Source organism: Homo sapiens, chromosome 10 (assembly GCF_000001405.40).
Source record: "Homo sapiens chromosome 10, GRCh38.p14 Primary Assembly".
Classification (NCBI taxonomy): domain Eukaryota; kingdom Metazoa; phylum Chordata; class Mammalia; order Primates; family Hominidae; genus Homo; species Homo sapiens.
Window position 1 is genome coordinate 116,869,958 of NC_000010.11, and position 25,617 is coordinate 116,895,574.

General features: G+C 40.2%; 2 protein-coding genes across 8 annotated transcripts in view; one reads left to right on the forward strand and one right to left on the reverse strand.

The window, feature by feature from the left end:
- ENO4 (enolase 4) overlaps positions 1–25,617 on the forward strand; it is a 62,877-nt gene that overhangs the window by 20,459 nt on the left and 16,801 nt on the right. For 2 of the 5 annotated variants that reach the window (NM_001242699.2, XM_047425228.1), the window contains 6 exons: positions 1,168–1,335; positions 4,119–4,244; positions 6,108–6,303; positions 9,334–9,401; positions 9,912–10,029; positions 11,558–12,644. In NM_001242699.2, the coding sequence (NP_001229628.1) occupies positions 1,168–1,335; positions 4,119–4,244; positions 6,108–6,303; positions 9,334–9,401; positions 9,912–10,029; positions 11,558–11,712 (831 nt within the window). In that variant the 3' untranslated portion in view covers positions 11,713–12,644. Of the gene's footprint in view, positions 1–1,167; positions 1,336–3,870; positions 4,245–6,107; positions 6,304–9,333; positions 9,402–9,911; positions 10,030–11,557; positions 12,645–25,617 lie in introns of those variants that run through there. The other 3 variants (XM_006717835.4, XM_011539797.4, XM_005269815.4) reach the window with 3 other exon arrangements.
- SHTN1 (shootin 1) overlaps positions 11,520–25,617 on the reverse strand; it is a 245,110-nt gene continuing 231,012 nt past the window's right edge. For all 3 annotated transcript variants that reach the window (NM_001258298.2, NM_018330.7, NM_001127211.3), the window contains one exon: positions 11,520–16,609. In NM_001258298.2, coding sequence (NP_001245227.1) covers positions 16,387–16,609 — 223 coding nt within the window. In that variant the 3' untranslated portion in view covers positions 11,520–16,386. The remainder of the gene's footprint in view (positions 16,610–25,617) is intronic.

Here is a 25,617-nt window from a genome sequence, read left to right on the forward strand (position 1 = left end):
TGCTTAGAACAGTACCTGGCATTTAGTAAGCACCAAATAAGTGATGCTTTCATAGTTTAGAAGGCTCTGTAACAAAACTCAGTTGATGGACAAAAATTTCCCCAACTATTGCTTTGTTTGCCAAATAAAAGTTTCTTCTCATTGACATTAAAATAGTGCTATCACCAGTCAAAACAGAATATTCATTCCCGGGTTCATGTTTGTCATTGAGTTTGGTGCACACACACACACCCCTTACCTTAAGCCCTCAGATTCATTGATATTGCTTCAATTTATAATTGCATAGTGGCAATTTATGGCGAGGGCACATCAAGGCTGACTTTGCAGTAGCTGTCTTTCCTTGGGGTTATGTGGGTCCTGAAATCATCTTCCACTAAAATCCATCTTCAGTATTGCATCCTCTTAGTGGAAGTCTTCAATCCTTTTAAAGTGGCCAACACCTGTAATCACAGCACTTTGGGAGTGCTGAGCACAAGACTTCAAGACCAGCCTGGGCAACACAGTGAGACCCTGTCTCTACAAAAAATAAAAAAAATAGCCAGGTGTGGTGGCACATGCCTGTAGTCTCAGCTCCTCAGGAGGTTGAGAAAGGAGGATGACTTCAGCCTGGGGAAGTCGAGGCTGCAGAGCCACGTTCAAGCCACTGCACTCCAGCCTGGGTGACAGAGCAAGACACTATCTCAAAACAAATAAATAAATGAAACTTCTCCTGAAGGAGGGCTATGCTTTTAATGGCTGCGTTTATCTAGAAGAAAACAGAACATACGAAAGAGCAGGTTTGGAGGAAAAGGACTGGCAGAGCTAGAGACAGACAGGGTGGACATTTACAGGGAGGGCCTGGAGATTCACCAACTGGGTGGTTGTGACTCAGGCTAGCCCCATGTACAAGGAATGGCAGCATCCATAAAGAGAGAACACAGACACACTAAAGAGAGAAAAGTGCACTCCCAGGCCAAACTTGGAAACCTCAGGAGTAAGAAAATTACTCCCAGATACTGCAGGGGAATCATATGCCCTAAGTCATGTGAATCAATCCTAAGTAGGATTGAGAATCAAAGGACTGATCTTTGCAGAGCTATATCTGATCATAAACCATGCTTATCACAGGAAGCGCCAAGAACCTTAATGTGCTGTATTGACATGGATCATTGTCTCTTGATCTTGCAGCAGCAGATCACTGGCAAGATGTCTCATCTTGGCTGTTTAACCATTAACTGTGACTCCATAGAACAGCCACTGCTTCTAATACAGGAAATCTGTGCCAACCTGGGGCTAGAACTGGGAACAAATCTGCATCTAGCTATCAACTGTGCTGGACATGAGCTGATGGACTACGTAAGTTTCCACTTCAGAACATTCACTTCCTATTGAGATCCATGATTTTTAAATTAGAACTCAGAAAAAAAAGAGCTTATCTGAATATTGTCCAAACAGATCTTATTGTTTTTTTATTAATATTGTGTGAAGGATCCAAATATAATGAGAAAACCAAATTAGCTAATGACCACAGAATAACATAACCATAAAATTTTTTAAATAGAAAATGTCATTATTATATATAGAAATTCTACAATAAAGATAAGTAAAATGAGTTACTTACATTGCAATCCTGAAAGCTACTGAAAAATAATTTAACAAACTGCATTTGGTTGATAAATGCTGAATTTGTCGAACCTAAAAAGTAGATGAGTTGTAACTTATGATGTGATAGGCGCTTCCAGACATGTAGTTCTTAGAATTTATGCTGTGACTTTTTAAATATAAAAATTTTTCCAAGTTATTGAAGTTTATGAAGAAGATGTTTTTGTCCAACTAAACACATCACAGTGTTATCCACAGCCTGGGTTAGGAGGACAGAGCTTTAGTGATGTGACGAGACTCCACCTGGGGACCACCCACCTGAAGAGAAAGATTCTAAAGAGAGTGAAAAACAGGTTCATTGAAAAACATCCTAGTTGGTGGGGCACAGTGGCTCACGCCTGTAATCCCAGCACTTTGGGAGGCCGAGGTGGGTGGATCACCTGAGGTCAGGAGTTCAAGACCAGCCTGGCCAACATGGTGAAACCCCCCTCTACAAAAAATGCAAAAAATTAGCTGGGCGTGGTGGTGGGCTTCTGTAATCTCAGCTACTCAGGAGGCTGAGGCAAAAGAATCGCTTGAACCCAGGAGGCGGAGGTTGCAGTGAGCCAAGATCGTGCCATTGCACTCCAGCCTGGGCAACAAGAGTGAAACTCCATCTCAAAACAAAAAACAAGCAACATTCTAGTCTTCACTTCCTCAGGGTAATACAACGGCAATTTACCTTTAAACTTGGGAAACTGGTATGTTAGGAAAGTTATTAGTTTTCTGTCTTACACATGTACTTCCTGATATGGTTTGGCTGTGTCCCCACCCAATTCGCATCTTGAATTGTAGCTCCCATGATTCCCATGTATCATGGGAGGTAACTGAATCATGGTGGCGGGTCTTTCCCATGCTATTCTCATGATAGTGAATAAGTCTCACTAGATCTGATGGTTTTATAAAGGGGAGTTCCCCTGCACACACTCTCTCTTGCCTGCTGCCATGTAAGACATGATTTTGCTCTTCCTTTACCTTCCACCATGATTGTGTGGCCTCCTCAGCCATGTGGAACTGTAAGTCAATTAAACCTCTTTCCTTTACAAATTACTCAGTCTCAGGTATGTCTTTATTAGCAGCATGAGAACAAACTAATACACTTCCCAATTTCAAATACACAAAAATGTTGAGTCTACATTTTATGAAATGCCCAGCATATTGCCAAGCATCTATGGTGACTTGGTAATTTATGTCAAATTCAGGGGACATGACCAAATAGCATTCTGCTTTAACTGTGATTTTAACTTTACAAAGGAAATTTTGAACTCTATAAAAGAGCCCTAAATTTTGCTTGACTTCTAAAAGTTCTTTTACTTTTCTAAAGAAACTAAGCACATAAAAGAATATTTAAAGTAATTTCCTATTCTTCACATAATGATTGGTTCCTAGGCATACCATTAAAAAAAAAATTGCATGTTTTCATCAGCAACGTATACCAGGAACTATGAATATACTGACTGCTAGTGCTAACTAGAATGGGTATTTATTGCTTATATTCAGTAAAATGTATTAGCTTGATATCAGATAATTCTTACAATATTGTTAGTTCAAAATCATTAGCGTTTCCTCACTGACAAGATAGGGTTTTTTAAGCTTTGCATTATAGAAGTTAAAAGTTCTTGCTGCTTTTGAAGGTGAAAAAAGTATGAAATCCCTTCAGTTATGGTCTTCTTAGGAAGCTGCTTAATTCCAATGGAATCCATTCTATTAGCAGCAGCAGGAAGGCATTAGCAAACCAAACAGCCACTCTGTTGCATTCCACCTCCCTCCCAGTGCCAAAATATCCCAGGTACCATCCCTGAACATAGACTTAAAAGGAAGGGTGCTTTGTTCTGCAGAAAGGCTATTCTAGATCCTTCAGCCCTGTTTACTTCTATACTTAATGACTTAGGGGCTTTCCAGACTTCAAATGAATGTTGCACTAGAATTCTACCTTCTGGACAATATCGTTACTACTAGAAAGTACATGCTACCCAAGAAAGAAATGCCTCAAATAAATCACATTATTTTTCACACTGGTTGTTAGTATATCAAAAGCCTAGCCTTGCTTTCAAGCGTTAGAGTATTTACAGTAAAGGAAACAAGTTATTCATTCAATGTGACCTGAAAGATGGTAGGGTCTAGTGAGTGAGCAGGTTAGCATTGCTATTCTGCTTATTTTGTGAATTTATGTTATTGTCCATCTACGCAGGCAGCCAAGTCTAACAGATTATTCCCCTCCTACTCTGTAATTCTTGGTGTTTTGTGTAGGAAGCTGCATCTGAAGTCTGTGGGAAGAACCCTAGAGGGCATCAAAAGGAATGGTGACTTGATTTCCCAGGTTAATATTTAAGATATTTAAAGTAGAATGGACAGATTTCTCAGGTCAACGTGCCCTGAAAAGAACCTGTTTACAACCTCTTATATAAAATGAACGAAAACGAATCTGAACCGTATCTTTGGGATTTGATGAATTCATTATTTATCCCTTATTTTAATATTTTCCTGACACATATCAGAATAAAGGAAAGTATGAAGTGATCATGGGCACATACAAAAATGCAGCGGAGATGGTTGACCTGTATGTGGATCTGATCAACAAGTACCCTTCAATTATTGCCTTAATTGATCCTTTCAGGAAGGAGGTAAGCACCCCACCTTCCATATTTTATAACATATTTTATATGCCATAAGATAGGCAGGACTCACCTTTTATATTTTATAACTCACCTTTTATATTTATAACAAAACAGAGAATAAAATCTCATTCTTTTGGATCGTTGTCATTCAAAATGTGTTGTAATTTGGTCTGGGGCTGAGTTGCTTTATTTCAGCATTCATGAGAAAAGGCACTTACTAAGCAAATGAATAGGAAAAACACAATTACCTAGGAGTGTGCCTGTCTGGGGAATGAAACACGTTATTCGCAAGCCCTTCAGGAGTACCTGTATATTTACAAGCAACCTAACAGATGGAAGCTGCCCCTGCTGTGCTAGCTGGAGCTTCAATAGGTTAATCATATACCATTTTCATGTGCTCAGGGGAACAGGACTTCTATAAGGCCAAATATTTTTCAACCTAAATCCAGTCACTATATATGCATAAACGTAACAAAGCCATTTTTTCTTTTATTTGAGACAGGGTCTCACTCTGTCACCTAGGCTGGAGTGCAGTGGCACGATCTTGGCTCACTGCAACCTCTGCCTCCTGGGCTCAAGTGATTCTCCTGCCTCAGCCTCCCAAGTAGCTGTGACTATAGGCGTGCACCACCACACCCAGCTAAATTTTGGTATTTTTAGTAGAAACAAGGTTTCGCCATGTTGCCCAGGCTGGTCTCCAGCTCCTGAGCTCAGGAGATCCGCCCACCTTGGCCTCCCAAAGTGCTAGAATTACAGGCATGAGCCACTGTGCCCGACCTGCAAAGCCATATTTTTAAAGGGTTTGAGATATTGAGGTTTTATGATCTATTAAAACTCATGCATTTGACAAAGGCTTATGTGACCATCTTTCCCCCAACCAACTTACACTCCAAAATTTAAATTCTTGATTTTATAAATTTGAGAAACATCAGATAGATTGAACAGATATATTGAACAGATATCTTCTTTGAGATAATACAACTATTTCAATTTGGAGGACGATATAAATGCTGGTCCTGATGTGGAGTCCCAGGGTCTCAGTCACATCCTCCTTTTCACAACCTCCATTCTACACCAGCATACACAGAATGCACTGGCTGAGCTTAGTTCCTTAACCTTGCCATACCAGCCCTGCGATGACTGTCCTGAGGCTCTGGTCATACTTTTTAAGACAGGGTCTTGCTCTGTCACCCAGGCTGGAGTGCAGTGGCCTGATCACAGCTCACTGCAGCCTTGACCTCCCAGGCTCAAGCCATCTTCCTACCTCACCCTCTCAAGTAGCTGGGACTACCAGGCACACCACCACACCCAGCTAGTTTTTGTATTTTTTGTAGAGATGGGGTCTTGCCACATTGTCCAGGCTGGTCACACACACACACACACACACACACATGCACATGTATGTGTATAATTTTAAAATAAGCATTTCATTTCATATGATAGTCTCACCAACAAAAATAAGGGTGTTGAGAAGGGACTAGAGCCCTTGCAGGCTTTCTTTTTCCATTTTCTGTTTATCAGAAATATCAGAAAAATCCATCCAGCCAATCCTTAGCAGCATTATAGACAAGAGTGGATGGGAATAGCCTGGGTCTGAAGAACTCTAAAATCCATGTAAGAAATAACATTTAGTGTAGTAACATTTTATTCATAAAACCTTTAAGCTCAAATTCACTATTAGTTTCTGTTTCCCAAAGCTTCTTAGTTTGTGTGGCTGTGGTACAGGGTCATTCAGGAACAGAAGTAAAAGAAAATTGTTTTGTGCATCTCAGGAAAAATGTGTGAGCTTGAGTATGTGCTATATTATTCCTGTTGTTTTGTAATTATGTTCAATGCATTATAATGATCAACTCTTAAATATTTACCCAGGACTCTGAACAGTGGGACAGCATCTATCACGCACTTGGTTCCAGGTGTTACATAATTGCAGGAACTGCTTCCAAAAGCATTTCTAAACTTCTAGAGCAAGGAAACATCAGCATCCCCAAATCCAATGGGCTGATCATAAAACACACAAACCAAACTACAATGTCTGACTTGGTGGAAATAACCAATCTGATTGACAGTGAGTAAAAGCATACATCTGAAAGACTCGTAATGACTTGGTTATACAAGAAACCAAAAATACACAGCATATCAAAGTTACTAAAAAGCATGGGAGAAATCTTGGAAGAAAAGAAAGTCCAACCATTTGTGAGAGATTTAGTGCTGGAACACAAAAGGCAGCTTACTGACTCCCTTCACTACGTTCCACTAACAGCCCAATTCCAAGCTCACCCCCTTTACTGAGGGCTACCAGAGGTATGGCCAAGGCCACTGCCCTGTCAACTTCACAGTGGGGAGAGCCTTTCTGCCTGTAACAGGAGGACTAATGGCTGATTTCTTACGAAAGGGCATAGCCTTCAGCACATTTATCAATTTGCTTTAGGTTCTGAGCTTGGACTACAGAAAATCTTTAAATTTACAGAAACCTGGCCGGGCGCAGTGGCTCATGCCTGTAATCCCAGCACTTTGGGAGGCTGAGGCCGGCGGATCACGAGGTCAGGAGATCGAGACCATCCTGGCTAACACGGTGAAACCCCCATCTCTAGTAAAAATACAAAAAATTGGCCGGGTGTGGTGGCGGGCGCCTGTAGTCCCAGCTACTCGGGAGGCTGAGGCAGGAGAATGGGGTGAACTTGGGAGGCGGAGCTTGCAGTGAGCCGAGATCGCGCCACTGCACTCCAGCCTGGGCGACAGGGAGACTCCGTCTCAAAATTAATTAATTAATTAATTAATTAATTTACAGAAACCATAGAGGTACCCCAACTCTTACTGCTAAAGAACAGGTCCCAAATCCTGATTCATGCACTGTGGAACACCTGGGTACCCATCTGCACTAGCCAGGCTTCCGGCTACAATGTAGTGTTCAAGCTAAGAAAAATATCTCACCATTCACAAAGCCAAGGCACCAAGCACAGCCAAGGAACAGCAGGGGCAGAACATGTGTAGCCTGCATCACATTACCGCAGTATTGTAAATTTCCTCCTATCATTTACTACCACTTTATGCTCTAGATTCTAGATAAGGAGTCAACACCTTAACAGGGACCACAGCTCTTTCTTCCACATAGGCATGGCCCAAGTACATAGTAAGGATGTAGGAATTACTTAATTGAAAATAAACTTAGCTACTTATAATATATCCCGACATCAGTCAGCCATTTTAATTTGCATTACTTGGGGAAGTCTAGGAGGGATCAGAATTTGGAACCAGATCATCCACTGCAGGGAATGGTCTACTTGAGCAGTTTAGAAAACAGGCAACAAGATCAGATTAGAAGCAGTTTTCTGTCAGTACAGAGACCTGAGGCAAGGGTAGGTTCACTACTAACATGCAGCATGAGGAAGCTGCCAAGCAGGTTGGCAAGGCAGTGGAGTATCAGGGAAGCCTCGGGAGGCAGAATCTGAGTCATGAAGCTGGGATTCAGGGACAGGATCCCAGCAATGGGGATCAGGGGATGACAGGTGAAAAGCGGGGCTCCAGTGCTGGTGCATCTGGGATGCCAGAGGAGAGCAGCTTTACTTAAGACCATTGGGTCAGGCATTTGCGAATTGGACATAATCCTTACAGCATCCCTGTGAAGTAGACACTATCATTTCCACTTTATTGATAAGAAAACAAGACTTGGAGAGATTAGGCAACTTTCCCATGACACTATAGTCATCTCACTTGCCCACAACTCTTGACCACCTGTCTTTAAACATGCTGTTCCTTTGGACCAGAATGCTTTGCTCTGACATACTTGGCTCTGCATCCTTCAGGTCTTGGCTAAAATGAAATGTCTTCAGCCACTCCTGCCTTCCCCTATCCCTAACTGGTTCAGTTCTGAATTTTCCTCCTAGCATCCTATATTTCCTCTTTGTAATACGGACCACAATCACTTATACAACTACCTAATGACTGGGGTTTCCCACTGGACTACAAACTGAGTTCATGGGCATCTTGTACACTTATGCAGAGGACATGAAACAAATACCACGAGTGGGTCTCAGGAACTAGACAGAAAGCTGGTCTCAGAGCTGGAGCAGAACTCAGAGCCAGACTGGCAGCCAGGGGCCTGGGTTGGTGCCAGAGGATGGAAGAAGATGCTCAGGCAGGGCTGGCCTGTGGGTGGTAGATGATAGATAGGAGGCAATGCAAACACCGTTGCTGCAGGAAGAGCTCTGGCTGGCACTCTTCACAGACTGGCACATTTCAAAGGGTTTTAAGACCCTCAAATGATTGATTACTACCAACACTACTCTTCTAGTAAACATTCAGAATGACAGTCCTTTGAATAAAATTCTACACAATGAAAGGAGAAAGCCATTACGTAGGCATACCAACTCCACGTTACTCTTACCATATTTCACTGACTCAAAGATGCATTTTTCTACACTGAACATTTAAAAAATTGAATCATGTCTTATAGCCGCGGTCTTAGAAATGTGTCAATCTAATTTGAGCATCCCCCTACCCCCTTTTAGTGGTAATAAAATAATAGTGCATTTTACAAATCATATATCTTTTTTTTTTTTTTTTTTGAGACGGAGTCTTGCTCTGTCGCCCAGAGCTGGAGTGCAGTGGCGCGATCTCAGCTCACTGCAAGCTCTGCCTCCCGGGTTCACGCCATTCTCCTGCCTCAGCCTCGCGAGTAGCTGGGACTACAGGTGCCTACCACCACGCCCGGCTAATTTTTTGTATTTTTAGTAGAGACGGGGTTTCACCGTGTTAGCCAGGATGGTCTCGATCTCCTGACCTCATGATCCACCTGCCTTGGCCTCCCAAAGTGCTGGGATTACAGGAGTGAGCCACCGTGCCCAGCCATCATGTATCTTAATTTTAATGAAACACAGTATTCATTTAGTATTTACAGCATCTAAGCTACTGAAATTGGGGGTAAACAAACAAAAGCAGGGCAATAAAAATGCAAACGTTAGAATCCTAGGTAGGCAAATAATTGACTCTTCACAGGGAAGTTTTAAATCTGAGAAATTTTAAATTTTGATCCCAGAGGCCCACATGTATCCTAACTTTCTACACCATATAAAACTGAAAGAAATTCCTCTTCCAGGTAAGAAGCACATCACTGTCTTTGGAAGTACAGAAGGAGAATCATCTGATGACAGCCTTGTCGATTTGGTAAGTGCTGAATGCTGGTCAACTGCCAAACACTGCTTTTATCACGAATTGGTATTTCAGAGAAATGCAGTCTCTGGTGGAGAAAGGCATGTAACCTTTTATGAAATAGACTTGCTTCCTCCCAGATAGCTACCTTTTGCAAAGAGCTAATCTTTGAACTTTTAAAAAGAAGAAAAATTGAAGTCCAGGGAAAATGATGAGCACACTTAAATGACTGGGGTGTGCACCTGCAATCTTTCCTCCTAAAATGAAGAAAGGCCAGAACGTTCTTACATAAAATCAGCATGCCTACGTGACTAGTAAAGTGCCTGATGGATAGTCAGCCACATCATCTGTTTGCCTTTCAGCACTCTCAGCTTGTAGGCCACTGTGCTTACATAAAGATAAAAAACTAGTAAGAGAAAATCCCAAACAGCACACTGTGACAGTTTCCTTTGTCTTTAAAGAATTGTTTGTCGTTTAGCAAGACATGGCTCCTCCGTCTAAAATTAGTTTTTTCCCCCCTTTCAGGCTGTTGGGCTTGGTGTCCGGTTCATCAAGTTGGGGGGTCTTTCCCGTGGTGAACGAGTGACTAAATACAACCGCCTTCTCACTATAGAGGAAGAACTTGTCCAGAATGGAACACTGGGTATGCGCTGCTTTCTTGCTTTGTTTCCACTTAGCCATGAATAAGAGAACAAAGATTGGAAGAGGGGGAATAGAAGTCCCTCTGCAGGAGGGCAGGGGAATCCAAAGACCATACATAAGTGCTGACAAAACTAGGATGGCACTTGCCACAATGTATATTGTTGTCTTAATGGATCATCTATTTACCTGAATGTTTAAAACTCTCGCCCTTTTTCTTGATGAATAGGCTGCACGATGCTCTTCAATAGAATTAATTGATTGGAATTTCCAAGCCTACCTTTTGTTATGGTCCAAATTATACTTAAGGTTTCCCTGCACAGCCCATGAAAGTTAAAGGCAGACACTTTCCTGAGGGTTTTTGGAAACAAACTGTTTTACTTAAAAACAAGTAGGCAGCGTGTTAATTTTAACATACCTTGGAAAGATTAAGGTCTCAAGAGAAATCGATCATTTAATGAAATTGAACCTTTGTAAATCTGCATGGTTAGAAGCACCTTGTATACTGGGTAACTAGAGAGAAACACACCAAATATGCATTTTTATTTTCTTATATTACTGATTGTGATGGCCAAAAGGAGGCCTATAGCATGCAGTGGCATTTAAAGAGACCAACAGAAACTGTGATTATAAACTTGTCATGTTTAACGTATGTAGCGGTCTTGAAATGCATCCTAGGATTCAGAAAATAAAGATATAATTGGGAGACTATTTCTGAGTCATGTAAGGGCAGTCAAAAGTTAGTCTGTATTGTTTAGTGTGTAGTAGAAGGGCTAGTTTTTTCAAATAGGTAAAATTATACTGTTCCACATATCTGATTATTTTTCTGGACATCCTGACTGGAGGCCTTAGCTTCCCTGAATCCCAGTTCCAGCCAGACGTTACCACGAGGGAAACAGCTGCTGCAGGGCATCCAAAAGGACTCTGGTGACCACAGGCTCCACCCCTCTGTGGTGACAGTGCAGCCGCCTCAGTATTCCACAATAGATTAACAGATCGAGGAGAATTTCTCTGACACTGGCCTTGGTGAATCACTATTAAAGGGACCAAAAACTGGAAAAATAAATCTCTCCACTCCCACTTTAGAGTAGGAAATCTTGGCAAAAGCTCAGCCATTAAAATGTTGTCAATACTTACATGTAAGGACCTGACTGGAATGGTCCTCGCCTGCCATCATTTCCCTGGGAGCAGTCAGCTGGCAGTGGCTTGTATCATGCCTAATACTGGCCTTTCCCCCAGTTTATCACCTTCCTCTTAACCCTTTCCGCTAAGCCTCTGCCCAAAGTCCATGATGCGTCATCAGATGTTCCAGAATGTTGAATGAGAGTGCAAGTAAAATCGAACAGAACATCTGTATGGCACAATTAACATATAACCAAAGATACGCCCAGTTGTAAATGGTTCTGGAGTCCTTTCCGATGGTGATGTGACACCTTTGGACTAGTACTGAAGATGATCTCCTTCAACTTATGTAGTATATAAAAACTGGCACCATTGGATTAGACAGTAAACTTTATTGTTACTTTAAATAGGTTTCAAAGAAGAACACACTTTTTTTTACTTTAATGAGGAAGCTGAAAAGGCTGCGGAGGCACTTGAGGCTGCTGCGGCTAGGGAGCCGCTGGTGCCCACCTTCCCCACACAAGGTGTAGAGGAATCAGCCGAAACAGGAGCATCCTCTGGATAGGGCTGTACACACCCCAGGTTCCAGCCACACCATCAGTATTAGTAGACCGGGAGGTCTGAAGTACGGCGCCGTGTCTCCACATGGAGTTTCCTCTTCAACTTCACCAACTCTTGTGGTTTTTATTCTTCTAATTCCACTGTTTGGTAAATTACATATATGATGTTTTTGCCTGAAATTCTGTGAACTTCGTTTTGCAGCCACCACACTTCCATGTGGATTTTGTTTGTCTATTAGCTCTCCTGTCCATTTTTCAGGGACACGCTCCAGTAAAAGAGGCCAATATTTTTGTTGCCAACTCCACACTCAGTCAAACACCCCATCCTTTACCAATCAGAATATCTCTGAGAACAAAAACCTAATGACCCTAGAAGCTCTCTGTGCTGGGAACAGATGTCCATCTTCTGTGTTTATTCTACATGTCTGTGCTGAAAAGCACTGACACATTTTTGTAACCAACCTCACGTAGAAGTGTGAGAGCATCACCATTTTTTGTAAGAGCCAATTTCATCTCACTTTCCTACCCTTGATTCCTTTTTTCCTAATTCCCTCTCCTTTTTAAATTTTAGTTTTTCTTGTATTATTTTTATCTTTGCGAGTCTTCTTAGATCCTTTTTGGAGTAAGAATGAGTATAAATGAATAAGCACATCAGTAAATGAATTAATATTCTCAAGGTTATTAAATGCCCAGTTATTCATACCACAGCATTTAAAAAGCAATCCGCAAGTGATAAAAAAAAAAAAAAAAAATGATGTGACATATCCATTGCCTGAATTGCTCTTTTGTAAGCCAGTGTTGGGATTATAGCAGAGGAGTAGCAGAAATAAATATATTCAGACACAAACATATAGATATAATAATATCCAACCACTTTATATGATTTAGGGTCTCGTTAAAATGGTTACCATTTGCTTCTCCTAAAAATTATATAAATTGCTATGTACTGACCTGTAGGGGAGTTGGCTAAGTTTAGACTTCTGACAAATTCTATAATTTTTATTAAGCACACTGAGGACCTCTCCTTTTAAAGAGTACTAACAAGGGACCTTAATTTCCTCATAACAGAGCCAACTCTTTATTCTCAAAGCTATGATTTGAAACTGGCTCAGGCGCAGACTCTCTCAGAGCATGCAGGAGACTTGGTTGGTATCACTCTAAGTTGGAAGAACTGTGTCACAGTTTGTGGCTGCTACTGCCTCTCCTGATGCTTAGCAACAAGCAACGGGTAGGAGAAACTGGAAGGAAAATTCATTTGAAAGGCAGAACAAACATGACTGGGTGTTCACATACCCTTTGAAAAATACACACACACACACACACACACACACACACATCATGAGACTATGCCCTGGAACAGTGATATAAATTATAATTAAATTACTAAAACCAGAGCAAAAATGTACAATGAATAACAAAATAACTAAATTAAATTAACCAAAGAGGTGATTTATTACAATAACCAGGTCAGCAGTGTGACTTCAACACAGAGCAGTTTACTCACCTATCCTCGAGACTGCACTCACCAATGGATAATTAGCATTTTAATTTAAATTTCTTAGGGTGCTAGGCACTCTTTCTACTTATACTTTCTCTCTCTTGTGTTATATAACATTTAATATGAAATATATTTATATAACTGTATATATAATATTATCTGTGAAAGAAATGAAAGAAACAGTCACATACCAAATTAAAATGACTGTGGGATAGGGACATGTTAGTGCTTGGAAGAGAAACTTCAAACCACTCCAATCCTTATGCAGGGACTGCTTGATGAGTCTTTGAAGGTCAGTGATAATGACAGATGGTTATCCATTCTCGACAACTTACTGGTATATAAGCTAATGTTGTTCCACAACGAGTGTAACTGAACAGGTAGAGTATGCATTTAGAAAAATAATCCAGACTTGAAGGCTGTGATACAGACTATCATTTACTGAACACACAACCAAAAACTGGTCTGGAAAGACAATTAAAAATAATTGTTACCTGTACTACTCCATTTCCAGCAGTTTACCATTAACAAAGAAGGTAAGGAAGGAGCAATTATTGGTGAGTAGTTAGAGCCAAAGCATCCATCCTCCGTACTCAGGGCAAACTATGCTGGGTGCTAATAGCCCTGTTGATGCCTGCCAGTCAGAACTTCCATGGGACTGTTCAGCTGCTGAAACTGCTGTGGGTGAGGACTTTGTTTGAGACCAGCTCACATACAAAAGGGTGCAAGTGCTTTAATTAAAATCTTATTCTTCCAGAAAAAAAAAGAGACATTTTCTTTTTCTTTAATAGCAATGGCACAAAGTACCTCTATCTCTGTTCCTCACTCGGGCTATAAAATGCATCAACATTCGTTTTTCTTAAAGAAAAAAAATCCTCTATAGCGCACAAGACTTAATTTATCTTTCCCAAACAGAAGGAAGCATAAATAACCTTTTAGAGAAATCAAAAACATAAAGATGCAGTCTTTTCCAACTTAAAATTGTGTAAGCAGGACGTATGTAAGTTTTGTGTGTGCAATAGCTATGAACATACCTTGCAGATATAAGCACGGTTCTCCTATGTCTTCCTATTTGGGATCCCTTGCTTTGGTTGACAGTGTCACCCCAGCCAGGGGCAAAACCCCCTCAAAACCAAAGTGAAAAGGGAAAAACTGTAGGCAGAAAAAGGTGAGTGAATATCTTCCATCAAATACCTTCATGTCAAATTAATTTAAAATGCTTTGTAATCACAGTGAGAGAAAGTAAGCAGCTTAAAAAAGGCAGGAATACTTTCAAAATACCTGTTACTAATTGTTCCCTAGTCCAGCTAACACATTTCACCCAAAGGGCAACTTCTTACTCTAGAAAGGAGGGTATTTTGATAACCATATTATTCTGTGATGGTGTGATGAAATATGGAAAGACAGTGTACATATTTTTATATTCCTAAATGTGTGTGAGTTGCATGCTGGCAGACAGATCACAGATGCAAGAAGGAAGACAGCACAAAGAAACATGAAAGAAAACTCAATAAACCATCTTAGGGACTATTAAAAATTACTAAAGTTGTCAAATCATATACAATTTTCTATTAAAGAATGTCAAGCTTGGGGAACTAAACCAGAAACGTTAATAATAACCACAACTGACCCTTAATGGGAAACTATTGGTGCCTTTTTAATAAGTTGTGGTGAGGAGAGTTCAAATTACAGCATAACAGAATTCGTTTCGTGAATTAATGCAGTCTGTAGTAAGCATATCATATAGCAGTATTATCCAGTTAAAGAAAGATACAGTTGAAAAACATTACGTTTTAATTCTCCATGAGTAAAGTGATAAGTAACTATAAAATCATTATTGGGAGAACATGGAAACAGTCAAGCATAACGAACTTACAGAAAGATAATTATCTCCAAATTTAGGAAGTACATGTACCTGCCTACCCACCTCTTCAAGCCTATGCTTACCACACGTGCAAAAATACAATACAATACAACTACTGCAATTATTACTATCATTTTCTTTTGCCCTTAGGTGAAAAACACCTGACAGCTACATGCTGAGCCATGCTAACAAAACTAAACCTTTCACTTTCTTTAATAGTAAAATTACCATTACTGAATCATTGTCATAAAAAGTGCATTCAAGTACATTACCACTTATTTTAAATAAACACCAATTTTGAAACAATCAACTTTGAAAAGCTGCATAAGTTTTTTTTTTAATCCCTGATTACATTTCTATTTATTCACTGTGGTAGCCTGAAACATTGTATTTTTAGAGACTAACTACTGCTTAATTTCTTTTTTAAAAAAAACAACAACAAACCTGTGTAATATAGAACAGCAGTGAAGCAAGAAAAATGTGTGCTTGTCACTTATCTTCACCATACTGTACATAAGAACTCTGATAAAATATGGTACTTGTGCCACATTAGTATTTGGGAAAACATAATTAACTCATAGCACAGAGCACATGGTTTACCAACTTACTACTGTAAAATTCAAGGTTTGGACTTTCACCTCAGTTCTGTATTCAGGCTACCAGAGCATCCCCACGGAGGTCCTCGGGAGGCTTTGGACACAATCAATAGCATGTATTTTTCATCCAATAGTTAACAATGTGTGTAATTAACACTGACTATGGGACTACGAGTTTGATGCCAGCTCCTGAGTTTTCAGTTTATCTCAGTCTACTGTAGAAAATAACTTGTATGCCACAGTACCCAACAATTTCCATGCTGCTGCAGTTTCTCCATCAAGAGGATCAGACCCAAAACAGAAGCTTCTTTGGGGGCTTTTAAAATCACATTGGGTTGATCAGTTTTGTTTATCCGATTATATACAAGCACCTCAAACTTTCAGCATTCCATTTGATGAGTGGTATGCACATTTCCTAAAAAGGTATCAACATCTGAATTTTTTTGTAACCTTCTAAAAGAAGTCATACTTAATACAGTAACTAGGAAAAAAACCTCATCTTTATAAAGATCAAAAAACCAAAACCTACTAGGAATGTGTGTTTTGCTAAACAGCTTACTTATGTTTATAGTTGCTACTTACAAAAGTGACACCAGAAAAGAACCTGTATTCTGAATACAGTGACCAGAGCAGAATGTCTACAGCCCTTGCCAATATAACAACACTAATCATGTGCTTATTGAAAAGGACTTCCAAACATGTCAGGCTTCTGGTTTATGGATCAGCAGTTGGAGCTGTCTGTCTCTCTCACGTTTTCAATGCTGTCTTCTTTGTTTTCTGGTTGAATTTCGCCTTCATCCTCCTTGTGTTGAGTTGGATCTTTTTCAGCAACCTGGTCTTTGGTTTGGGGTTCATGTGTAGAAACAGGATCTAAAACTACAACTGGTTCGGCTTGTTTTTCACCGTCAATGTATTTTTTCCTGCATCCAATGCTACTGGGAGGCCTATGAGATGAAGAGTTAGACAAAAAAAGTAAAAAGCAGAGAGAGAAAATAGTTGTCTCTGATATTCTGGATTCAGACTAACATAAAACCCAAAATGTTCTAAGTCTAATCAACATGCATATAGTAGTCTTTGAGATGCCAGCCATTTAAAAGAAAAAATGAAGCTATCAGATTACACAGCTGATACTAGGAGCACAAGGCCAGAAGAAAGAAGGCAGAGAAAGAGCGATTAACTACAGAAGTGTTAAAAAGCCAAATGCACCTACCTGCTTAATTGCATTCTCTTCTCAGGAAGCGTAAAGCTCATGGACAAACTGTGAACTTCTCACAGCCTGCTGCCCAGACCCCCACCCGCCCTCACTTAGCTGGATGGAGCCAGTTAACTCCCTTCCCTCCTGTGTGTCCCTGGGTATGGCTGGTTGCAGGGTAGTGCTGAGGAGCCTGCAGGGACAAGGGGAGTAATCACCCCTCATCACTGATGGACAGGTGAGAGGCATGCTGACTGCTGCCATTACCAACTAGAGGAGACCTGGTCAGACTTCAGGAGGGGGTGGTGGTAGGACCAAGGGCGGAGAGAGAGCCAGAGTAGAAGCTAAAATGCTAAGTTACCATTAATGTTTCTAAAAGGAGAATCAGGTTTCTTGAGAAATTTCTTATGGAATTTCAGAGGCAGTTTTCCACAGACTCCTTCTCTCGTCTCTTCTGCTGCAAGAAGCTATGGCTTCTCAGGCTGAATGGGTGAGGATTTCATTATGGGAACAGATATCTCTGAAACACCCGAAGGTTCAGGCTGCTGAGCTGCGGCCTGAAGGTGGAGGCAGCTGCAGCAGGCAGGGCTGGGGCTTTCGGACTTTTCTGGTCTTTTTGGAAAATGCTAGGATCAGGCCTTTTTGTCCCTGAGAACTGGCTGTTAACCATGACCCGGCACACCACCATCCCACCTCTTGGTGTTCCGCCAGGTGCCAGTGAGCTGCCAGCCAGTGCCTGCCCACTGCTCTACCAGCCCCTCACCAGGAGTTGGTTTCTACTATTCTCTGACCCCTTCAGCAGGTCAGAGCTGGCAGGAGACACTCTTTTACCACCTAATACCTCTCCCTTGTTGGACTTACCACAATTGTTTCCTGTCTGTCTCTTCCAATAGCATGTAAACATCCACGAGGCAGGGACTGTTTAGCTTTACTCACAATTCTATCCCCAGCACCTAGCACAGATGCATTTGTGGACTAAACGAATGGGCAAATACTAATAAACTGAAGGGTTCAGAATGAAGGGGGAGAAATCAAGGTTTGGGTGTGAGTAGGTCTGGATGTCTCTCTTGCAACAAAAACAACAGAACAAATGATCAACTACTGAGCAAAAGTAACCTGCATGACCCGGTCACGGGCACAAAACCTCAAACCCAAAGACCACACTGCTTTTTTCACTTTCTGACCAGTACTGTAAGATCTGTCCAAATGTTTAAAAACCACTCCCTCTGGCTACTGGGTTATATTACCTATGTGTGGCTCGGTCATCATCCTAAGTGACAAACACTATGTCTTCCTTGGAGGTGGTAAAAACAAAAATAATCAGGAGCCTGGGGACAGGCTGTGCTGTAGTGAGGACAGATTCCTTTATTTTTGCCTGATTATGGCACCATGACATTGTCCATCTACCTTGGCCAAGGAACTACTTCTCCAGACATCTGCCGCTATGCTTTGGGAATCAGAATGGGGTGTAGTTTCTCCAGTGGTACCTGTTTTGACTCTCTCTGACCCACACAATATTTAAAAGCCTGTGATGGGAGAAGCAGAACAACTATGAGTAATATTAAGGATTGATCAGAGGAATCAGACCTTAGGGAATGAGAGGCACTAGTCATGCCGTCTGTGTAAATCTGCTGCTTCTGCGTCTGACACTGGGCCTGCAGTCAGCTGTTCTGACAGTTGGGAGGGAAGGCGGCTGTAAAGTGACAGAGACTGGGGACAAACTAGAGCTGCACCTATCTCTCTCTCACAAGCACCAATCTTGATGATGCAAGACAATCTGCAGAATAAGCAGGAGCCTTCCCCAAGGAGCTGCACATGCACCTGCCCCAGGATTTGGAAAAGCTGGAGGAGGAGATGTGGGGAGCTGGAGAAACTGTGGGCCAGTCACTGCCACATGCCAGTTAGGTGAGTCAGCACATCAGGAATGTCATGCACAAGCTATAACAGAGCCTGCCCTACACGGACCTTCCGAGGGTTAAAAAAAATTTTTTTAAGACAACTACTTCACTTCCACCTTCTAAATCTCATGCAGATTTATCTGTCGGCAACTCTAAACTGAAAACAAACAGGTGAGGAGATTCTAGGAAATAAAGCTGCAGCCCAGCTAAGGTTCCAGGGAAAGTCCCATCCAAGTCTGCAGATTGAGTCACCAGTACGAAGGTTTCACCATCTTGGGCCTGGGCCCACTCTTATGTAAGCCAGTCAAACTGCTTTCAGCATGCAAAGGAGGTAGTATTTCTCTCATTCTAGGTGAGCAACTTCCATCAACCCATACTAACCTTCATCACTTCTGTAGAACTACCATGGATGTTTCCATGCTCGTGTGTGTCTGTAGGTGAAGGGGTGGTGCACAGATCCTAGAAAAAGCTTTCTTCATCAGCTCAGGGCTAAAAATTTCCAGGAAGTGCTCTCTGGGCTCCACAGCAGCAATACATGGATGTTGATTGAACTGAAAACTCATAAACCTAGTATTGTCAGGCTGAAATTGTCCTGGAATTGTCTCAGTCCAAAGAACGATCTCCCTGTCCTGAAGCAAGCTTCTTGACTGCAGATTAATCTATTATTAAGTCACTTATAGGCTACAATTTGAGAACCCCTTTGTTATCACTGAACTAGGCGCAGTGGGCATTTTCTGAATCTAGGCATGGAGGGAGAGTGACTGGTTTCTCAAGGATAATGACCACTGCCTTAGAATCCCAGTGGAAGGTGGAAAGGGACTAGGGCAATCGTCTAGTCTGACCTGTCCTTTTACAGATGAGGATGATGGGGCATGAAGAGGGGAAGGAACTGGCCCGAAACCACACAGCTCATCAGTGGCAGAGTCAGAACAAGAGTCAGAAGCTCCTGTCTCCCTGTTTCTGCCTTTTCCATGACAGCATGCTGTTTCTCAAAGGCATCTTCTCCTAGAAACAGGAGGCTACAGGCTAGTTTTTGGCATGTTTACTGATTTCATTCTTTCCGAATCCGTTTCCATCTCCATCTTCCAGATCTGTAAATAAAGTCTATCCCTTCAAGCTATCCCTTAGTTTTAATTTTTCCCCTGTGGTTTGTAGCTCCTCCTGGCTTGACATCACTAGGTCCACTCTTGGCTCCCACGGGCAGCTGCCCAAGACTCCTTCTGGAATGAGAGTCCTTTCTTTCTCCTAGGCCTCATTCTACCTTCATTCCTATCGTATGGGAAGAGCCACAGAGCCGCATCAGTGATGGTGCCAAGAACCCAAGTTCTCACTCTAGTAGTCATGGTGGCAGGTTCTAGAGGGTTAAATATGAAGCTTCTCCCCAAGGTAGAAATCCCAGAAGCTCAAATGCAACACTTCAATGGGAATTGTAATATACTGTCATTCTGTTCAATTTTTTTTTCTACTTTAATGCAACCTCTAAGGACTAAGACCACAATAAGGAATTAAAAGTCTGTACTTCTAAAAAGTGATGGCAGCCTGTCTCCTGCATGCCACAAAATCTGCAAGTAAAACTTAAATTTTACAAGTATCACTTATAAATTAAAACTAAAATCATGGGATGCTTGGGCTGACAGGGATCACCATGGTGAGCTAGTCTAACCTTTTCAGTTGTCAGATGAAGTGTCCAAGGAACAGTGAGGTTAAATCAGCATACAACTTGTTAACAGCAGACACAGGACTAAACTAGTGGAATCCTGATTTCCTGTCCAATAATTTTTTCTTACCACAACATACTGGTTGTCATTTATGATCCATTCATATAGATATTTTTCACGGGTCATATTAGACTATGTGCTCAAAGGCTATTTCAAGACAAAACCAAAAACCAAAAAGCAAAATAAAAGCTACGAGAAATATACCAAGTTATGCCACTCTATGAAGCCTGGTGCCCAAGTAAAACTTGGGTGACCTTTTAGAAAGCAGCTATTGTGCCCCTACTGCAAGAGAGCCCAAACGTGGGGCCTGAGCAGGTGGGGCAACTTACTAGTAAAAGGAAAGACCTGACTCCAAACCATACTGGTACCAGAAGAATCAGAACAATGGCAATGGCCATGCCAACGCTGAACTTTACAGGACTCAGTGATTTCTCAGACTGTGTTACAAGAGATGAAAATGCAGCATTCTAATTTTTAAAAAGGACATCGTTTGCATTCAATGAAATTCCTTTCAAAATCAACTTTCCACGTTCCAACTATATTCAACAACATTCTAGCTAACATTTCGGCTGCAATTCAAATTAACTAATGCCCAAAAGAGCCCTAATAGACGTGGTTCTGAGCTCAATTGAATACAATCAAAGCTCATGAAATGAAGGGGGAAATGCTTATTTCATGCAAATTCTGCATATCACTCAAGCTTAATTTTACTGATAATATAAAGGTGGGACATTTTGAACATTACAGTGAATGAACTTTTAAGCGGTGAGAGTTATTTTATAAAATGCTACCTCTGAAAAGCTGATTGCCAAACAGTATAAAAATGGTTTGAGGCATAAATGCCAAGTTCATTTCTATTTCACTTCTGAGGTAACTATCTTTCAAATCGCAACAGCTGGACTATTTAACACAATCTGGTGAATCAAAGTATAGTTCTTCTCTGGTCTCCCAGTGGGATGTCTGCATTAGTCTGTGGCAGCCATCCAACAAATGACGCACAGCCGGACGGTCTGAACTCTGTTTCATTTACAATAAAAATGGATAAAACCGCAACCATATTTACCGCCTTCAAGGACAGAAAACAGAAAGATTTAAATTTGTCTTTATAAAGTCGTTTCCTGGACAAACTCCAAAGAGGAAGTTCCTTTTATATTTTCTCTGGTGTAAAAATAAGGATTCTTATTTTTTTCCAAGCCCTTTATACAGTTACTGCAGTGAACAGTAGTGGCATTACAGCAGAGGTAGTTTTGATTGTTTCTTTTGGAAACCCTATTTTTCAGGAGATTTTAATACACTTGTCCAAAACTTCACAAATTTTTAATACACTTGTCCAAAACTTCACAAAATAAAGTTTCAAACCTAAGGTGAAACTTTCTATATTACTACCGATTCTAGCATTATTTTAAAATATAATAAAGGCAGAACAAAGCTCAATTCTTTTTGTTTTGGGTACTTTTTCAAAACTTCATTTTAGCTCAAAGAACGTATTAAGTTTGTCAATTTGGGTCCACTTCTATTTGTGGAAAAAGTAGATTTAATTATTTACATTGTTAAACAACAGAATACTACTATGTTTGAAAATCTGACATCAGCCTCTAGATGCTGATTTGCTCTCAACATGAACAAGAATTCCTTTTTAACATAGGTAACAATGGCTGGGCAAAGATCTATGTCTATGCTCAGCAATATTTTCTTTAGCTGAGTGACTGCAGCACAGGCATCCCAGTACACGGCTTACCTCCCGGACCACAATGCAATGCTAGGGAGCCTTGTAGCTTGTACCTTGTAGGATATTATCTTATTCCTCTAGTGCAGGCTGGACTGCACACATTTACAGAATCTAAAATACACTGGCACAAGGAGGTTCAGGAAACCGGACTATTCTCACAGCAAAAGCAACACTGACAATGCGTGAACTACGATTTCAGCTCGGCCAAAGATTCTGAAATGTGGGTGATCATTTTCTTAAGCTTCGTTTTTTAGCTTTTTATAATTCTGCACAACATTAAGTCATCATGGAAAATCCACTCAGATTCCAGCTATTAAAAGCCATGTTATTTATAAGAAATATTTTAAGAGACATAGTCTTCCACAAAATTCACCATATATAACATTGGTTCCTTAAAAACAGCTGCCATGCACAAAATACTTGCATTTTCATTCTATGTTTTCAGGAAAATACTGTTTTAAATGTAGTAGTTTTTCTTTCAATTTACTGTGTATTTTTAAAACTCTCTTTTAAGATCGAAAGTCACAAATTACTTTTCATAGAGCTATATAATAAAGAATATTACAAATGAAATGTGTTTATTGGGTTTCAGAAATTGGGTCAGTTTATTCTGAGATCTGACATTGCATTTGAGTTTTAGCTTCTTCTATTTGAATAAAAAAACCTCCCCTCTACTCCACTATACACAAATAAAAGGAAACATAAACACTGTGTAGACTATTGAAAAATGGCTAAGAAAACTACAATGTACCGAAAGCAATTTGGTTCTCTATGCAGAAATGGTATATTTTATACAAAGTCTCTTAAAAATCATAGGTGCTTGCAACTGGAAGCAAATGTTAGAAGGCAATTAATTCTCTGAGAGAATTGAGAATTACTCAGCAGCATTTTAACAGTAATTTTGAGATTTACTCAACAGCAGTTTAACAGTCATTTTTACACTAGGTGTAATACATCCTCAACAATTAATCTGGAGGAAGTTGCTGTTTGCACAGCAACTCAGAACACTTGTAAGACAATCCTGACAGGCGGATCTTTCGGGCAGTCCACAGGATAACTCCTTGGCAGCGGGGGAAGGAAAAAAAATGAAGTGAAGGGATCTCAACTTCCAGAACATCCAGTTGTTCTGCTAATTTTGTTGTTAAAACTTAATTGTCCATGTACAGGCGCACATGGAGAACCTTTGTAGCAGCGCTTTGCTGAACAGAGCTGTTTCCTGCAGTGTCAGTACACAATTCAGCAGTACTAAGATTACAGTTGAGAGCAGAGCAAATCCTTTAATTGTATAAGAGCATCAGATTAAGCAGTAACGTCCATGCAGTTCATTCTGCTAGCTGGTAGTCTCTTCTCAGAAACAAATGTTTACTAAGTACAGGGAAGGCGCCTTCCCTCCCCCTCCCTGATAGGCACTCATGTGCACACACACACACACACACACGAGAAAGAAAGCGGAGAAGCGGAGGTTATGAGGAAATGGTGGGGGTGGGAGTATCTATCAGGAACAAAATCCACTCCTTTCCATCCCAGGACTAAAAGAACTTCCCTAGTCTCCATTTGAACAAAACATGACCCCAAACCTCTCTTAAGGAATGGTTATATGGCCAACTAAATTAATTTCCAGCTGAGATAATTAGTTTGAGAGAATAATTTTATGCCAAGTTTCCCTAAAGTAAGTTAAGAATCTCAATTTTTATTTGCTAATGTATTTCAAAAGCTCATAATCTTTCATAGGATTAGAGAAAGTAAACAAAATAAAATAAAATAGCTCAGATTCTCCAGCTCCAGTAAATTAAAAAGCAGTACTTTCCTATTTCATTTTTCTACATTAGTTTCACATCAGAAATACTGAATGAAGAGACCAGTTAGAGGTCAAACAATGATAAAAATCAATCTTACTTTTAATTCAAAACCTGAAAGGCAATTAGATTTTTTTTCTTTCATGGAAATGTTTGACTGGTCACACCAACCAAGAAACATCTAAAATTTATCTTTTGTCAACTACCCTTTGGTTTCATTAATGGCCCAAACAAGATGAACTCTTACAAAAATAAATTTGTGTGGGGCCAAAAGTCACATGTATTTAGAGATACCACAGACATAGAAATTAAATGCAAATTAAAATAAAAATGGTTTCACTGGAAATGAACATTTTCTATTGAAATTGAAGTCTTATAATTGCCACATGGGTTTTTGTTTTTTAAATTCTTCTAGGGCAGCATGTAACCTCTTTTGACTCCCCCAAACGAAAAAGCAAACTGCCTGTCTGGCAGTTAAAAAGGAAATTGAAAAGAGCTTGATAAAGCTTACAGTTTTGAGGGGACCCTGGGGTGAAGAGAAGCATGATAAATTAGAAAAATGTTAACTTGAAGAATCTCTGGCAATTAATTGTGGCTTAAAAGGATCTTTGAGAATGACCAAGACGACACAGCTATGAAAGCACTGCAAACCACACTGTTGAAATGGAACAGGAGTTCCCTTTCGAAGGGCTTCTCCCTTTTGAAGTAAGGTTTTAAAGAAGTAACTAGATAAAATGAAAAATCATCTTTGAGGCTGACTACCTTGTCTAATTGCAACTGTTAGGAGGATATTCACCTTCCTGAAAGTAATTAATTGAAAAAGTGTGAATATGGATGAAAAAGCTCAATTCAGACAAGCAGCGCCACTTTCAGATAAGATGGTTTCAGGGGAGAAAAGCAAGAGGGCAAGAAAACATGAAACTCTTAAGCCTCTGCCTGACTGTGATGCAGACACATTTTAAGATCTGCTTACCTCTTTCTCCATACTGAAGGCCCACATATCCTGCCTCTCTTTATAATAAAAATGTCCTAAATCATAATGACCAATGGATAAACACAAACTCAAAGGTGTTAACCAGTAATTGACCAAACATGAAGCTCTCTTAAAAAGGCATAGAATAAAGTGGATACAATAATAAAATGTATTTGGTGCTTTAGAATGTATGTTTTTCAACTAGATTCACAGAGAGTGATTCACCTTTGTATTATCATATTATCATTTAGTAAAAGCATCTTTCTAATCCAATGATTACGGTCAGAAATTTTCAAGGTATTTGACTTCTGGGAAAAAACTATTTCTCAGCATGGTTAAAATGTTCAATAAAATAAAAAATGTGCAAATAGAACTTATGCTGACGACTAAAGTAGCTTAAGGCTGGTATTCTGACAGGCTAATTTCTAAAATTTATTTTGAAGCACAGCCCTTTATTGGACATTTGGCATGAAAAAAATTGAAATAATTTCTTTCCAATTATTCTTTAAGACTTTTTGCTAATTCAGATAGGCTCCCTTTTCAGAACTCTGTTTTACTGGGTAACACTTTCCTCCCTTGACAAGAGATCTTTAAATTGCTTAGGTTAGCCTTACAGAATGAGAAAAGGAAGACATGAAACTACCTA